This window comes from Homo sapiens, chromosome 1, assembly GCF_000001405.40.
Source record: "Homo sapiens chromosome 1, GRCh38.p14 Primary Assembly".
NCBI classification, from domain to species: domain Eukaryota; kingdom Metazoa; phylum Chordata; class Mammalia; order Primates; family Hominidae; genus Homo; species Homo sapiens.
In genome coordinates this window covers 4,780,923-4,799,306 of record NC_000001.11, presented here as the reverse complement: position 1 = coordinate 4,799,306, position 18,384 = coordinate 4,780,923, and the positions used below count along the sequence as shown (strand labels likewise).

Below are 18,384 nucleotides of genomic sequence, written 5' to 3'. Positions count from 1 at the left end.
CTGAATATGATCTTGTGAATTGGGTTGGAGGAAATATCTCTCAGCCACCTCTCCAAAGAGTTCTGTGTGGAAGCTGCCAGGGTGGGCTTAGGGCTTAGAGACTATGAAAGGTGAGTGATCAATGGTTGGTGCGTGAATGTCTCCCAGCCCAGTCCTTAAAGGTGATAAAATTTTGCAGAGAACTACTGGAAGATGCTGTCACTACAGGAGCAATGCCCTTGAAGATGTTGTCAGAAACTTGACCATACCATTCAGAAAGAGCCGCAATAGATAGGACTGTGTATTAGTCTGTCTCACACTACTAATGAAGACATACTGGAGACTGGGTAATTTATAAGGAAAAAGAGGTTTAATGGACTCACAGTTCCACATGGCTGGGGAGGCCTCACAATCATGGCAGAAGGTCAAAGGCACGTCTTACATGGCAGCAGGCAAGAGAGAGTGTGTGCCCATGAACTTCCCTTTATAAAACCATCAGATTTTGAGAGACTTATTCACTATCATGAGAACAGCATGGGCAAAACCAGCCCCTATGATTCAATTACCTCCCACTGGGTCCCTCCCATAACATGTAGGGATTATAATTCAAGGTGAGATTTGGGTGGGGACCCAGAGCCAAACCTTATCAAAGTGAAACAACATCACCTTTTACCTCCTTTTTAGTAGAACTAGTGGAAGATTCTGATTTGTACAGTGGAGGTTCTGCCACCTGGGATTGGACAGGCAGGAAGAGGAGGGGAAGGGGTGACCAACATTGAGTGTAGCCTGGGACCCACCTGGGGAAGGCCGGGGGTTGAGTTGGCTGGTGTCTCCCACATTTCTCTGGGTGTCTCACCCTTGCTCCTCAGTCTCTGGCCACCTTTCCACCACACACTGACCACAGGAGACCAGTCCAATGCCCATTAACACTCAAAGGAAAAGCCCTAGGTTTCACTCCCACCCCACCAAGACCTGAGGGACTCTCTCCTCCACATGTCCCTCCAGCCTGCCTTGAACTGGGGCTTAAATACAGAAGACGTCATACAGAACCCAGCATTGCTTCCTGTCTCTCCCAGTACCAGATCCTCCAAAGTCAGTTTCCTGTGTCTTGATTCCAGAATGAGATGTTCATTTGCTTTTGAAAATAACATTCAGAACCATTCAAACAACCCTCTTTGGTTCCAATAAATCACAGAGGATGAAACGGGAGCTCAGGATTGTATTTCATTTAGAGGAGCCTTGCTCTCCTGGAGAGCACCCAGCATTTCCCAATTGAAATACAGCTTCCTCCCTAATTTCATTCTACAAGCCCCCTGCCCACTGTCAGTTTCATTTAGGTGGTAATTCAATCCCAAAGTGAGCAACATCTTTCAATGGTTCTCATTATTTTCCTGCATAATTTTATCATATATGCGGTCTTGGACTGAGAGACACTCACTCCCCAACCATTACTCAGCCACAGGCCACAGTGTCCAAGCCAGCAAGGGTCTGGTTCAGGAAATTAGGTGTCTGCCTCATCTTTGGGGCAACTGTGGTATGGCTTCCTTTCTCAAAGGAAGAACAAAGCTCAGCCAGATGCCCAAAATATGGCTTCATTATTGTTTTTCCTCCATGATCCAAAGCAATCCAGCATAACGGGGGCCCTTGCCGAATTGGAGAGGATATGAGATAACCCAGGTCTCAGGGGGAAGTGCCTCGATGTGCAGCTTTAACAAAATCAAGCCCAAGTGTTTTCAAGCCTGGGGAGGCTCTCCTCACTCAGCTGCCTTTGGTGATGGCAGGCCCCAAGAGGCCTGCTGGTGTTAATGGGATCCGTCAATCGGAGGTGGTATGTGGTCCCAGGAAGGTCTAGTCTGTGTCCACAGCTCATTCAGTGTCATTATCAAAAGCTCATTATTTTGTAGCTTTGCAGAAGCAATGGTTTGCATAGAGTTGCTCTCAACGGCTACACTCTGGGTGATTGTCTATAAAACTATCAGCAGGAGGTCTACACGTTCTAAAGAGTTCCAAAGAGAACAAGTGAACTGAGCCAGCCATCTCCAGCAGCAAGGACACTCTGGGGACCTACAGCCTTCTGGACCTGTCTGTGGGCGGAGCTGCAAGCACCAGAGCAGGACAACCACAGACTCTGCCCCGCTGCTAAGGCTGACTCCTCTCCATCCCACCCTGCCTCTTGCTTTAGTGCCCACAGCCTCACTCCTGGGAAGGCTGCCAGTCTGGAGAACCACAGCCTCACGGGGCCGAGACTTTGCTGCATCACTTCTGCCAAGTTCAAGGCTGAAGAGTTAGAAAACATGGGGAGAGCTTTGGAGAAGAGAGCACATAGAGAACAGAGTCTAGACAGATAACAAGGTTCCTCTGCAAACCCAGACCATTTTGCTGAAGGTGAGCGGGAGAAGAAATGCTGGGAAGAGCCCACTGAGTCACAGGCAAGTGGCCAAATGTCTCTCTAGCAGTGGCGGCCTCCTTCCCTCCTGCAGTACAGCAGATCCTAACTGGGGGGCACTCTCCGTGCTGCCAGATGAAGTGTGCTGGAGCCAGATAGGAAGCTCAGAAATTCAGGGAAGAAGTGAAACAGAAATAAGAAATCACAGATGCAAATAAAGAAGAAGAAAAAAAAGAGGCAAAGCTCTGCATTTGCAGCTGTTCTCTGTGCAAGGAGTTATGTATTCCGCTTCCCTCACTCTCTTTTTTTCTAAGTTTTATGACAGCATATGACCGTGGCAGCTGCTTCACCTTTATCTGGCAACCTGAAACCAAAACAAAAACACTATTCTGGGGACAGTCACTTTAAGAGGAAGCTGCTTCCCCTTTTGAAGCCCAGATGAACCTCCAACTAGAAACCCAGCTGCCTTGGTTTTAAAAGGTGAGGCCACTATCATCCGCAATGTTTCCTGGACGAGCCCCCCAGCTTCAGTCGGGGGAGGAGAAGGAACTTGAACCTCCTTTCTGGGTACCCCCTGCCCCTCGCTGCCTGAGGCCCTTCACGTTTTCTCAGGATAGATGCAGAACAAAGGAAAGTGGGGCAGGTTTCAATACAAGTGATGGCATCTCTGATTCCCCAGCGTCATGGGTTGAATTGTGTCAAGCCCCCTGACCAAATGCATATGCTGCAGTCCTAACCCCCTGCAGCTCAGAATGTGACCTTATTTGGAAATAGGCCCATTGCAGATGCAATTTGTTAGGACGAGGTCCTACTGGAGAAAGGTGGGCCCCAAACCCGCATGACTGGTATCCTTATTAAAAGGGAAAATTTAGACACAGACACACACACAGGGAAGATGCCAAGTGAAGGATGGAGTGAGGCTGCCACATGCCAAGTATTCACCAGAAGCAGGAGAGAGGCCTGGAGCAGACCTTTCCCTAGTGCCTTCAGAGGGTGCCCAGCCCTAGTGCCTTCAGAGGGTGCCTGGCTCTGTCCCTCTGGATCTCAGCCTTCTGGCTTACAGAACTGTGATGCAATACATTTCCATGGTTTGAAGCCACATCCAGTTTGTGCTATTTTGTTACAGGAGCCATAGCAAACCAAAACACCCAGGCTTTAAAAAAGATCTGGGAAAGGAGAGCTCACCCTTTGCTTCCTGAGATAACCCTGTTGTTCCCTAAGGAAGCTGCTGGCTTCAGGAAGACCCGATGAGCAGTGTTGATTTATATGATGACCCTCTGCATAAAGCAGGTCGACTTCAGCATCCCCCAGAACACTGCTGTCAATGTCAGCACTGTTGACATTTGGGGCTGGATTGTTTTTGTCATGGGGCTGTCCTGTGCATAGCAGGGTGTTCGATGGCATCCCTGGCTTCCAAATTCTAGATGTCAGTGCCCGCTGTACTACTTAGTTATGAGAACCCAAACTGTCACCAGGCGGTGCTAAATCTCTCTGGGAAGAATGTCATCCCCTGAGAACTGCTGTTCTAAAGGAACCTATCCTCACACCTTAGAACTTCATTTCTCAGCTCTGAAGTTAATGCCTGTTAATAAAGCAGAGGAGATGTATCGATTTGAACAAGCACTTATTACGAGTCACAACAAATGCAGAGAGCATCTGCAGACAATAAGATCTAGAGTCCTACGGTCCCTCTCAACTTGGCACCAGCCTGGGTTGTTGGTTCCAGTTGGTTTTTGGGGAAGACCTCAAGTGTACCTTTGACTCTTAGCCCATCGAATGGTCTTCACTTGAGGGATGTGGGGAGCCCCTAGCTCCCCAAAATCATATTTCCTGCCTTCTGTGGCCCCATACAGTTGGTAGGGACAGTTGCTAGGGAGAACCTATAGTTGCACCAGCTCCTCCTGATGCCCAGCCCGCCTTCACTGCGCTGGAGGGAAGTCCCCACAGCCTTGTTCAGTGAGCAAGGTTTCTGTTGTGCTTGTGTGTTCAAAAGCCCATCACAGGCAACTCTGCCAAACTTAGTCAATCATATCGGGACCCAGTATTTATTGTCTTGGCTTCAGTTCAAAGGCAAGAGCTCTATGCACTAGCAAATGGATACTAGAATTCCAATTTCCCCCTCTCACTGGTGAGCAAATTGAGTTTACTTTAATGGTATCCAGGCTGTTGATTTGTCTAAATCAGTTAAATGACCAAAGTGGTATTGCTTTTTTTCTGCTTGTTAAAGACAGTTATGTATCCCATTCATCAGTGTGTCTGAGGACATTAGGCCTCTCACTGACTCAGGAGAGAGTGCCCTGGGGAGCCAGTGGTCACCTCGGCCATGTGCCAGTCCCTGGCCTCACAGACAAGTGGAAGCTCCCAGGGTGGGGATAAGGAGGAAGACAAAGGCACCACAGGATGCTGAGAAGGTTGGAATGGAAGTGCTTTTGTCATGAGTGCCCTGCGCCTGGTGCTGGATGAGGCACTGGGTAAGTTGTCCATTGATTCTATGCCAGGTGAGGGATGGGGAATGGGGAGGAGCACCACCTGCTCTTCAGAGCTAATTAGGGGGAAATGCTGCTTTTTCTAGGCCTGTAAAGAAGGCTCTTCACTCTGTGGTCAGGCCTCAGCACTCCTATGTCTTGGAGATGCCTGAGGCTGAGCATCTCTAGCTCTGCAGGCCTTTGGTGTGTGTCCTTTTCCTACGTGCAGATCAGCTCTTGGTGTTGACTGAAACTGTGACCGTGCCTCTGACTCACCTCTCTCCGTCATCTTTCTGTGACTGGTCCTTGCCCTTGACAATGGCTTTGATTAAGAAAGAAGGGCCAGACCAGATGTGGTGGCTCATGCTGCTAACCCAGTGCTTTGGGAGGCTGACGCAGGAGGATTGCTTCAGGCCAGGAGTTCAAGACTAGCCTGGGCAACAGAATGAGACCATGTTCGTACAAAAAAATTTAAAAATTAGATGGGCATGGTGCCTACGCCTGTATTCCCAGCTACTCAGGAGGCCGAGGAAGGAGGATTGCTTGAGCCCAGGAGTTTGAGGCTGTAGTGAGCTATGATTGTGCCAATGCACTCCAGCCTGGGTGACAGAGCAAGACCCTGCCTCGAAAGAAAGAAAGGCAGGACAGAAAATGTAGCAGCAGGATAACCATGCACTGGAGATGTATCTGGAGTTGTGTGAGGCTGTGGTTGGAGCTGAGGTGGGTTAGATGAGGTCTGGGTCCACTGGGACCCCCCTCCTGGCCTAGGGACCCTTTATCAGCCATGCCCTTGTGTCGCTTGGTCTGCCCCATTTGGCAAGTGGGGCAAAGTCATACATGGATGATGCATATGACCTTGGTGATAGGTTCAGGTAATTTCAAATATGTGAAAAGACATTGACAGGTTAAAAGGTGCTTAGCAGGTATAGAGTACACCTGGGGCTGAGCAGCAGGGTTCACTAGAACACAAGGTCGCCCCGCCAGCCTTGCTTTCTTACCCTGAGGCTTAGCTCCAGCCGGCCCAGAGACAGCTGATGTGAGAGCTTCACCTTTAAGTCCACATCAGGGCAAAAAAACATCCTGCCTCCCATGGGGAGCACAGCAAAGTGCAGCATCCCACCCAGTTCTAAGAGGGGAGTTTCTCAACCTCAGCCTCTGGAGCTGGATGACTGTGTTAGGGGGCTGCCCTGTGCTGGGTAGGGTGCTTATCAGCCTGCTAGCCTCTTCACACTAGATGCCAGTAGCACCCCTAGCCCCGTTGTGACAACCAGAAATGTCTCCAGACATTGCCAGATGTTGTGGGGGTGAGGATCACCCCACATTGAGAACTGCTGGCCTAGAGGCAGGGGCCTTGCTCCCCCATACTCTGCCTGATCCGAGCATGTCTGGAAGTGGACAGAGCTCTCTTTTGCACTCTGCAAATACTGTGAGTGCGCGAGGTATCTCCTGGCTCTGATACTGGAGGCCCTTTGAAATGTTTTGCCTTGGCACCAGCACACAATTATAAGCCTTGGGCCGACCCTTTCCCCAGGGCACGGTTTCCTCTGCAGGAATCTTTGCAAGACATTTGCTGGCCTGCAACTGCCCATAAAAGATCCACTGGAACCCCCCAACCCTGAGCTTGTAGGCGTTTGTGGTATCAGGTACTATGTGGTAGACCCTGACTGGTTAACTCAGACTCAGTTAATAACCAACCCCAGGGCCCAGACACTGAGACCTGAAAGTGTTTTCAGAGTTGTTTAACTGGGCAAAGCATTGGTTTGGAGATAATGAAGATTCAGGGAGGAAGTCTTAGACTCTGTGAACCACAGGCATAGAAACAACGCCTATGTTCTTAGAGGAGGTCTCAGATAATATTGTTAAAAAATAAACAAAGAAGTAACATAAAAAAAAGTCCTTATGAGGTCATGGCCTGAACTCATGGTAATTCTTTTTTCTCTTCTTTTTTTTTTTTTTCATATTATGTTTTTTTTTTTAATAGCAACATCAGAGTACTAAATATACACAGGAAAGTTAATATAGGTGTTTCATTTACAATGTTTTCCAAATACATAGCTTTGAAATACAGAAACAACTTAAAAAAATCTGGAATAAAAGTTCACCTGTACGGAAATCACACCCAGCCACCTGCCCCCCGCCCCCCACCCACATATATTGTGTCATTTTTGTTTATTAACATGATTATGATATGCATTTAAAGAAAAGAAACACAACATTAAACTACAGGAGGTTAACTCTCTCAAGAAGATGATATATAAATACGTCTATAGAGACAGCTGTGGTATAGATATACGGAGAACATGAAAACAGAGAGGCTTTTGTTTTCCTTTTGAAAAATAACAAGTGCTCCTTGTAAAAGTATAAATAAACAGTTAACAGTTTATTGTATCAGAAAATAATTTAGGAAAATGAAAATAAAACCAGTTTTGGTATACATGGGTGAGGGGGCGGGGGAATAAAGTTCTAAAACATTCAATGCAAAACCTGTGAAAAAAGAGGCCATGTGGCCGTTGCTGTTTAATTTCTTGTCCTGTGGTTCAGCTTCAGGTTTGTGAATTTCTAGTTCCATGGGTGAGCTGAGGAGGAGGGGGGACAATGGGCTCCATCTTTAAATAAATGCAATGAGACCTGGTGAATTCAAGGGTTATTTGAACGCACTAGGAGCATCCACACGGACCTGGTCCTTCTATTTCTCAGATCTGTGACTCTTAGACAGATGCCCCATGGGAAAAATCCAGTCAATAGTTTGGATGTTTCACTGAGTATCCTGTTTATTCCATACCAATGCCCAGATACGCCCAATGGCCAATGCTTGATGTTGTGAAAGTCAAACATCCAAATGGTTGACCACCTTTTCCACTTAATCGTAGACACTCTAATGATCAATGGGAAGTTTAGTGCATGACAAGTTCAGCTGGCAAAGATGCATTTCAAAGCTAATCAGACTTCATAAAACATACATTAGAGCCAGACTTGTCCCTGGTGCTAACCATGGCGAGATCTCTGTGACTTGTCCCCACTCATTCAGCCTTTCGTGAACAGTTTCTACAGAATTAAACAACTGGAAGGTTCCAGACATTTCCCTTCTGTTTGGTTATTGGTATTTTCTAAATGGTTTGTAGTAAACATGTGTTCCTTTTGAGAAAATAATGTAACAGACTCTAAAAATGTTATCAATGCATGGCCTCAAGCTTCATTCAATGTCCAGTTCAATACTTTCTGGGTCTAACTCATATTCCCGGGGTTCCTGATCTGCAAATGTGTGGAGCAACCTGATCTTGATCCTGGCTTTTAGTCCCACTCACCTCTCAACAATCCGGGTACCAAGAGTCAGTTAGTAAAGGTCATTGATAAGGTCATTAAAGTTCACGTGAGGCTTTGCTGTCATTCTCCTTTCCATTTAAATCATTTTAGCTGGAGGGTGACCCCCTCTCTGGGCTCCAGCACCTGCCATCCTGTTTCTCCAGGAAAGAAAGAGAGGAAATGATCCAAATTGGGATGCCAGAAGAGGAAATTAAACAAAACAAAAACAAAAACAAAAACAAAAACAAAAACAAAAAAACAGAAACACTTCTGAGAAGACCAGTATTTGGTGCTGCAAACTAGGCACATGTTTCTGCCAAATCTCAATGTTTCATATCGACACACTGTTTGAAGGAGCAGAAACTGATGTGGACTTTGTTCTTCCATCTTCACACCAAGCAACATGACATATGACAGATCCTGAGACGTCTGCTGAACCTCTGTGTGTCACCTCAGGCTGGGAATTCATCTTTAAGGATCACAGTTATCATCAGTTGACTGATAACTAACTTTGCTAGGGCCTTTCACCCTCTGGCTTCAGAGGAAGCAACGCAAACGCTAGTGAAAAACAAGAAATAGAACAAAACACATCTGCGGATAGATTGTGGCAGTTAAATTCAAGGAGGGTGTGGGCAAACACCCCCTCTGGCACGCCAGCGGGCTTTTCAAAACCAGTTGCCCCGCTTGTCTTCCAGCCCCTTAACTGGGAGAATTGTGCTTGTATGTGGAAGTGACACCGTATCTAAGAGCACCTTAGAGAATCCTGCTCCTCACAGTTTCTAGGGTCCCATTCATGTTGACTGGCTGCATACGCAATAAAGAAACTCCCATGTGGTTTTGTAGGCCTTAAGTGGTAGGCAGTCACATAACTTGATATTAGAAATCCACATGTATGTGAGAGAAATAATAGAGAATGGTGTTTCCACCCCAGAATAGACTGCGGAGGCAACAGGAGAGGGTTCCCCTGGGAGCAGCAGCTGCTGCCCTATAGAAAACCTTGTCAAGAGCCATGCCATCAGCTTGCTCCTATGCCCATACATGGCTCTCGGCAGCCTGAGACTTCAGCAAAGCCCTTTCTCCCTTCTGCCCCAGGTGAGTCCTCCAAAGGTTGGAAATTAGGGTTGGGGTGTCACAGTGGGTTTCGAATTTTCCCTTTTGGCTTGGGATGACTGAAGAGTGAACAAGAATGGGATGATTCTGTTAGGAAATGAGACACTGGCCCGGGGATTGGTACAATGGTGTTCACCCCTGCAGTTCCCTGTACAATGATTTCAAACAATGATACTAGGGCTCCTCAAAGTGTCCCCTATGCTGTATTAGCAGTGGCTGTAAGTCTTCATCGTACATAATGGTGCCGAAAACAAAACAAAACAAAACAAAACAAAAAACAGAGCTTACGACTGCGTAGTGTTCTTGCTCCTCCCATGGCCAAAGCTATCCCCAATTTTCTAGGGGCAAGGACTTGCCCAACCCAGTAAGACTAGAGTGAACTGCCAGTTTGCCAACCCAGAAGCTATCAACATCAACACTAAGAAATTTTGCTGCGGAAACGACGAAATCTGACAAAAGCTAACCAGTGTGAGTTGCTTATGCCCATGCAAGACTGAAGTCTTTAGGGAGTTGTTATTTAGTGTTGCAAATATTTGGGTGTTGAATTACAAAATGAAAACCCGGGTCTCCAGGGGATTCTGTTTTAAGAGACAGCCACCAGAGACAAAACTAATTAACTTGTATAAAGGAGAATTTCCTACAGTCCAATGCTCCCTGCATCCTTTCCTGCCGCATGTTACTTAACAGATGTTTTACTATGGAATCCAAGATATTGACAAGAGTTAATCCAGTCCCAAGCACATGTCTTGGCTTAGAACTCTCTTGGCTTAGAACATTAACCCATTTAATTGACTGTTATCTACAGCATACGTAGGTTCTGATTCCAGCCTACATGAGAAGACAAGTAGGTCATTTATATGGCCATTTATACAGTCACTGTTCCCTTCCCCCGCTACTCACTAGTGTTTAATCTCTATAAACCTGTGTGTCCCACATGGGCAAGCTTGGCCCAATTTATATTATGCCTCTTATATATGACTCAGATTTACGGCTCATTCAAAACTGCTCTCTTGATTCTATGTACAGTAACTCTTAGAACATTTAGCAGGGAATCCTTCACGAGGAAAAGGCAATGGAGCTACAGGGAGGATTCATTTTATGCTTTTAGCTCCAAAACAGGCCCATCACCACCGAGTTGACCATTCTCTTCAGTCACCTTTACAATGGGGCATGGGCTGTGCGTTTACAGGTGTGGAGTGTGGACTTGTGGCTGGTGTGTTTGGGAATCGATGGAGAGAACTTTCCTCCCCATGCCCTACTGCCTTAGGGACCCTAAGACTAACATCACTTGGGTCACTGGATATTCTGGGGGCCATTGTGCACACCGCTCCCTTAGTCTGCTGTGGCCTATGTATTTAACTCCCTGCAACCAAAGTGAAATAAGATGGAAGATGAGAAGTTCAAGTGCTTCTGCACCGGGCTGGCTGTTCTGAGGGGAGCTGCTTTGTGTTTCAGGCAGAGAGTAGGGTGGGGCCACTCCTCTGACAAAGTGCAAATGTTCCCATGTTCCCAAGGGCCCTTCAGCATAAAGGGAGGTTGTGCAAAGAGTTAAGTTTCCTAGCTAGGGATGGCTTGGTCACATGGAGGCCCATATAAACTCCCGGGATTGGCTACTTTGTGCTCACTAGCTAAGACCTTTCTAGAATGATTTGACATCAGAAGACGCTCATTCTTTCTGTTCGACTGAGGGCTGGGGTGGTTTAAAAGATAGCAGTTCTCTGCCTAGACCTGTTTTTAGTCACTCCTTACATCCAAATACAAGCTCTAAACCTAGACACACAAAACCACACAGAGCCATGCTTCATGCTCTTTGGAAGGAAGGGCTGGTAGCATGTTTCAAAACCCCAAACATTCATTTAAGACCTCCCTGGAATGCTCAGATAAGGCTGAGTGTAACTAACACAGAGATCCTGGCTCAGAGTGAGCAAAGAGGGAGTTTATCTTCCTAGCAGGCGGCACATCAATGTACAATAAGTGGGGAAGAATAATCAAAGATCCTCAGATGATGAGTTTCGCTCATTTATGTGGGCTGTGCTATTTACACTAGAAAACAAACAAATAATCAAAAAACAGTATGGTAGAGCAAATTGACAAACTGCACCAAAGTAACCACTCAAAAATTACATGAATCACGGCATGTTTTGGAATAGCTGCTTACTTAAAAGCAGATGCTGTTTAAGAAGGATGCCACTAAGTGAGCTCAGTGCTGGGGGAGCTTCTGGAGATGCAGCTGCCTTCTGGCACCAAGAAGAATGGCATCCCCAAGGTGCCCGTGCCCCGTGGGCCAAGTCGCTGACGTTGAACCCCCTTATCCTCCTTGAGACCTGGCTGACCTGAGACCTGCTTGGCCTGGCAACCTGACAGATGGGACCAACATGGGAGGGGCTGGGCAGAGCCAGTGCCCAGGGATGGGGCAAGCTCATCACCAGGGCAGCAGCCCTCATCCTGCCCCTGCCCCTGCCCCTCTGCTTCCACTCTTGCTGGAATGACAGAGGAATTTGGTGGAGAACCAGGCGTCGTAACAACTGCGATGTCTTATCTTCAGTGCTGCACTGCATTTTATCCAAGAGCTAAGACTAAGGCCTTCTTCCTCCATCCAACACCAGACCAACCCTCAAGCAGCAAGTGGTAATTTTCCAGTAGGTGATGGGTCGCAGGAGGAGGAGACGTAGACAACCCCTGCCTCTCTTTCTTCCCCTTCAATGCCCCCCACTCTCTCCCTCTTCCCCTCTCTCCTTCTCTGCCCCCAGCCCCATCACTCTGCTCTGCTCTCTTCCTGCCTCTTCTCTCTCTGGAAATTATTTTGGTTTGCTTTCACATTAACCATCCACCTCCTCCCACTGTAGAATATAAAGCCCACAAGGCCATAACTGTGCCCATCTTGCCTCCAACTGTATGGCCAGTGTGGTAGAAGTGGAACAAGTATTTGTTGAATAAGAGGATGAATGACTGATCGGTTCATTATGGTGATGCAGAACGGGTTGTTTCTCTCCAATGGCATATGTGAGTAGTGTCTTAAAGAATTCACATGCTGAAGCAAGAATGGTTCAAGAAATCAGGTGTCTTGGTATCTTTTCCCACTGCGACTTGAGAAATGGCTTTGTGGAAGGGGCAGGGGTAGGGGAGAAGACAGTCTGGTGGAGCACCAAGTCTCATATATGCCCTGATGAAAGAGATCACCTTGATGAAAGAGGGTGATGGTGTCAACAGGTGGACAAAAGAAGGTGTGTCCTGGTGCCATCTTGAAATAAGTATGAGAAGACCAAGACTGACCGTGAAAAGGCTGAGTGAGAGTCCCAGCCTCACTCCCGGTTCCTGGTCTTATCTTTCAAGATACAGGGTCAGTCCGCTTCCTGGGCTACAGACAACCCTGGACCACCTGAGCAAAGAAGCAAAAGGGTAAAATACCTCTCCATGGGCAACAGGGTCAAAATAGAGACCATCCAAGGTGACAGGGTCGATCCTTTGGTGCGTTCACCTTTCAATATGGCCTACACATTGGGCATCACACACAAAATTTTGAAGACCAATCCCTCTAAGCATGGCTTTTCCTGACGCTAAAATATGGCTGTGAAAGAGTCACGTATTTTTGAAAGAAAGGATTAAGATGGTAAGATCACATTAGTAGTAACGGGTTTCCTGGTGTCCCGATTCAAAGAGTGGGTGGGGTTTGCTGATGAGTTCAGGTTTCTAATTTCACAATGCTCCAGGAAGGACTGGAGTGAATTTCTGGGAGCTGAATGTAATATGAGAAGTCCACTCAAGTTCAAGATTGGCAAGGACTAGAAATACTACGGAGAAGACAAGGTCCCCTAAGTGGCCTCTCCCTTCTGTGTGCAAGGAGGGCAGTAAATAGGAACACTAGCAGCCACCTCCACACACCCCAGGGTGTCACCACGCTTCCACGTTGCGTGAGAAGGCTTGGATTTGTCTCGGTAATGGCTGGAATCTGAGCCCAATGGGAAACGGTGGGGAAGCTCCCTGACCATGCCTGGAGAACCCTGCCTTTCTCACGCCAAACTCGGAAACAAGAGCAATGACACGCATATTCCAATCAGACAAAGTGACATCAAGCGTGTGAAGACTAGCAGCGACTTTGTCTGAAAACGGACTGGACTGTACAAGGAGTGCATTCCCAGCTGTTTCTAAGCTTTAAAGGCAAATGCAGGTGCCAGGAGGCTGCCAGGGGGTTTGCAATTGCGGGATCTCCGAGGAATAAGATGGAAGTGGACGAAAACTGGGGAACCCTAACAAACCACATCACCCTTCCTTGGAGTTCTTTTCTTGAGGAATAAAAGCTCAAGCAAAGGAAAGGACCAGGCCTTGGGTGGGGGATGGGAGGTGTCTACTATTAGACTCTGAATTCCAGGGGTCAAGCAGAGGAAAGAGGACACCAACTAGCTTGAAACACTGCCCCAAGGCTGCAGAAGGACTGATCAGGCCAAATCAGCAGCCACCGACACACAAAGTACATGGGCATTACCTATACATATGGCCCGAAGTAGGACAAGTCTGTGCTCTGGTGCAGACTTCACCGTGGGTGGGGCTGCATTTCCGAGGCCCAGTCACTTTCACTCATTATCTCCTCTTACCTAGACGACAATCCCAGGTGAGGGGTCTGGGAGAGCAGGTAACCATTTAAAAAAGTAAAGTAACACGTCTACAGACACTGCCTCAATCATCCAGAAATAGCAGCCTTTGTGTGGATTTACCTTGACGGATGTCATGTTGGTACAGAACCAGACTTTTGGGTGTGGAATGGGCATGCACTTGCTTGTCTGGTGTTTGTGCCTGTGTGGGTCTCACAGCCCTGCCTTGAATCTGTGGCTCTTATCGGGGACAAGAGGGTTGTTGCATTACGCTTCCTTCCAAGGCTCGATGTCTTATGGACCCAGGAAAGAGTTCAGGGCATCCAGGGTGCCGCACATGGTCAGAGAAGGGGGCTGAGCAGCTGGGAGTTGACAGAGCAGATACCAGGAGTCCCTCGGGAATCCTAGGTTCTCATGATCAGCGAACCAACAGGGCCCCCCGGCCGTCACCTCCTCCTTAGTTGGGCTCACTCTGGAGCTCAGAATGTCAGAGACCAGAGCAGCCACCCCACTGCCTGTTGGCCGCCGCCAGCCCTCACCATGCACTCGCACCACGCTGTGCTCACCTGGAGTCAGGAGGCCCACCTCAGCGGGAGGGAGTGATTGAAGGAGAATGGGATGGACGAGGCCGGATGGCGCGCAGAGAGAGCTGCAGGCTGGAGCGCCATGCAGGTGAGTGCCAGGAACCTGGAGACGGCCAAATGCCAGTGGCGGATGTTTGCATTGTCTCAGGATGTGCCAAAGCTTGGGGGGAAAATAAATGACAGAACAAAAACTAAAGAACAACTTTTCCTAATTTGTGAGCAATACCATGGATACAGATCTCAACACTGCTGCATCACAAAAACAATCCTTTCACCTCCGGAGGCCTTACTCTAGGTTCACATGTTTCAGGAGATACAAAAGTGAACTTCTGAAGCATATCACAAGGTGTTTTAGAGGGAGACTGAGCCCAAGGGAAGAATCAGGTCATCAGCCTGGCCATTGAGGGCAGTAAGGTCAGCTGTCTGTCTGATCTTTAACCTTTTTGCCTGGCCTGTGACATTTCACTGAATTGGCTCATGCACTCTACTGCTGAAATTAAAGCTGCACGTGGGCCACGCGTGAGAAATATAGTCTTTGGAGACAGGGACCCACACCATGTTAGGCGTCTCCCATGGACAGGAAACATCCTTTAAGGAGGCACAGCGTGGGCCATGAGATGCATCCCTAGATCCCTACAGCACCCGCTGTTGACAGCAAGTCTGGGGCACCAGTGAGCCCGTTTCAGGTGAGGCTTGTGAGGGAGGCCCGGCGGCATGGCAGTATTTTTAATAAAGTGTGTGTGGTTGGGATTCTCTGTACTGAGGCTCAGGTCTGGGGCCCCTGTTTCCACTGGGTAGTTTATAGTAGGATTCTCGGTGACAAAACAGAAACATCCATCGGCCAATGGAAGCTGACGGGAGAACGGCATCTTTGCCGAGGCTTCCCCCAAGATTCCAAGTCACCCTTGGGCCCTAGAAAAAGCGGGCCACACCTGCCCACCTGCGCAAGGGAAGGCAATGCAGCACAGGCCAGGTCAGGGCGCTGCCTGACTGGGGCAGCCTTGTGGTTTGCACACAGAATGACTATTTTTCGTTTTCAAACCAACCGGGGCCCTTCACGTATGTCTAAGTTCTGCCCTGATATTACACACACACATCATAAGGATATATTCCTTTAATTTTTGGAACTGGAAAACTTCTTTAATCCAGTCTATGCTTGTATGACACACACGTCCAAGAATCCACCACCCACCCAACCAGGGGCTCAGGCCCGTTTGTAAGCAACCAGCTACGTAAATGTGAACGTGGCTGTTAGGTAGCATCTTCCAACACTTAAATGAAAAAAAAAAATCATATGTATGCATATGTGTATATATATACACAAACATATATATACACACACAAACATATATATATATATATATATATACACACACAAACATATATATATATATATATATATATATATATATATATATACACACACATATATAAAACCTTGGCATTCTTAGTTCTGGCCCAAGATAGTAAGTCACACATTTGATGCCACTCACCAACCGTCTAGCAAATGCAGGCTGTCATTTAAGGGCCTCCTTGTCTCGGTCGAGGCTGTCCCCTGGGGTGAATGGTGATGGAATACCAGGTCACCAGAAAGAACATGCTCACCTGTGGAACTGCATTTCCAATAGATGCGTCTATATGCATGTATGTGTATTGTGTGTGTGTAATGCGCACATGTGTGTAATATGTGTGTGACGTGAGTTGCCAAAGTAGAAAACACTGGTTTATTCTGCTCATACTAAGCATGTTAAATAAATCAGATTTTGTAACCTATAACACAATTCTTTTTTTTAAAAAGGAACATTTAAGATCTTCAAAAATTGCTACAGTACAAAAAAAGTGTGTGTGTGTGTTTGTATTTATATATTTATATATGTATATTAACCAGAAATAGCGACTCTATCGGAAGAGATTCCCACCCCTGTTTTCTGTAAGATTTCTCTGCGTGATTCGCTGGGCCCCGGCTCTGCGGCCGAGCCTTTCGGGTCAGTACATGGCACATAATGGTATTATTGGCACAGGTTCAGAATCGTAGGACGAATCCTAGGTTTCGGATGCTTCCTCCCGTCCCTTTCGCTGGGTATCCTCGTCTCTCTGCCTCTGGTTCCTTTCTTTCCTTTCTTCTTTCTGTTCTCCAAAGAAAACTCTGGGAGAAGGCAGTCACCCATAGGCATGAGCATTTTTACAAAAATAGATTTGGCCTAGAGCGTCCTGCTCTGTGAGTTTCCCACCGGCAAACAGAAGTGGTAGGTGCGGGGACCCTCCCCCTTAGATAGCTCAGTTTTAGGTTTTGTCTTTTTTGTTTTGTTTTGTTTGTTTTGTTTTTACAGGTTCACCAACGGAATCCTGTGTGGAAAGAAAACAAGAAGAGATTAAATGGCAGCACGCCGAGGGCGCGACAAGTCTGTGGGGTTCTCGGTCGACTGGGACCCCCACACGCAGCACCCCCGCATGCAGAGCCCGATCACTCCCTTTATCGGTTCACTGACACGGAGGGGTCCTTGGAACGTGGACAAGGCCTCACTAGAACTGGTCAGCAGGAACTGGAAGAAACACTGGGAATCCCAAGGGTATGAAGTGGGAGCCTGAACCTTGTGGAATTCTGGTCATCTACAGAGCTCTGAGCTTGCTACCAGGGGCTGGGACCACCCCCTCCGCTAACTCATGGTGGGGGTGCCGGGGCATCCGGTCCCAGGCGTGCATGTCAGGGGGCCTGCGTGTGGCAGCCCTGCTCTCACTCTCTGTCCAGTTTCCTCCCATGGAGGGTGGCGTGGGGCCTGCTCCACTCCTGTGCTGCGGGAAGAATGGGAGTCTGTTTCTGTCCACTACTCAGCTGCAGGATCCCCGAGGCCAGAATTCGGGAGAGATAAATGGACTGCATCAGAAAATCCACCTCCCACATCTCCCCAGAGGTGATCTTGCCAAAGAGAGAGAAGGCGAGTCCCACCTGGGCACAGGTCAGGTGTGCTGACTGCGATTGCCACCTTCAGCGGGCAGGCTGAGACGGGGCGGCTCCCACCCAGCCAGCCCGAGCCTCGGAAAATGGAAAATGCAGTCTCCCTGGCTGAGTGAGAGCCCCCAGTAGGTCAGCATCCCTCAGACGGTCACCCCGGGCATGGCCAGGTGAGCTGGAACACGTCACGGTCCCATCTGGGGACCTTCTGCCCAAAGCTGCATCTCCGTCACAGGGATGGGGTGCTGTCTGGGTCCCTCTGCTGTCACTCAGAGCTCCTTTCAACTACAGGCAATCAGGACCCTCAACAGTAGAAAGAAAATGCTACCGCATCCTCATCTGTGCAGATGACACATATCAGAAAGTGGTAGGATGGGGCGGGGGTACCCGCTGATCCAAAAATGAAGTCGGAAAAACACCCAGTGGGAGCTCTAGAATTTTTCCAGCAGCTGCATGCATAGCATGCGGCCAGACCGGCTCCGTCATCGTCATCGTTGGAGCTTAGCAGAAATACAGATTCCCAGGCCCACCTCTGGAGACCTGGAATCAGGGTCTCGGGGTAGTGTTTGTGAACGTGGGTTTTCAGAGCTCCCCAGGTGAGGTCAGTGACTGCCAGTCCTGGGTCCATTCCCCAGTTCTTCCCAAAGACAAGGGTGCGGCTTTCTCTCTCCTGAATCAACTGAGCCCACCGCAGTGATTCTGGTTGGGACTGGGGAGGAGGGGCCCCAGGTGGGACATGCCTGCCTTCTGAGGGACACATCCCAGGAGTGGACAGCGAGGCTGGCAGGCCCCAGAACAGCTCCTCCTGCACAGCACTGCGTCCCTGATCATCAGCACTGCGTCTCTGATCATCTCCAGGAGACTCAGTGTGCCAGAGTCTACTCATTTGAAGGTAGAGGTGAGGGGCTGGATCTTTCCCTGGACCCCTCTGCACCTGGACAAGAGGCTGGGCCCTGGGCGTCACCTTCCTGCTTGCTGCCTCCAAATGACATCCGTGTGGACAACTCCATGAGGC

The 18,384-nt window shown here is 48.3% G+C and overlaps 1 protein-coding gene across 2 annotated transcripts in view, besides 1 other annotated feature; it reads right to left on the bottom strand.

The window, feature by feature from the left end:
• Positions 1-6,772: 6,772 nt before the first annotated feature.
• Positions 6,773-18,384, bottom strand: part of AJAP1 (adherens junctions associated protein 1) — a 137,926-nt gene continuing 126,314 nt past the window's right edge. For both annotated transcript variants that reach the window (XM_011541786.3, NM_018836.4), the window contains one exon: positions 6,773-16,762. The gene's annotated coding sequence lies outside the window, so the exon portion shown is untranslated. The remainder of the gene's footprint in view (positions 16,763-18,384) is intronic.
• Positions 16,616-17,134: an enhancer, noted in NCBI's record as "H3K27ac-H3K4me1 hESC enhancer chr1:4842233-4842751 (GRCh37/hg19 assembly coordinates)". NCBI's record gives its function as "activates a minimal SCP1, AML or CMV promoter by ChIP-STARR-seq in primed H9 embryonic stem cells {active_cell/tissue: H9 hESC(primed)}" and the evidence as "EXISTENCE:reporter gene assay evidence [ECO:0000049][PMID:30033119]".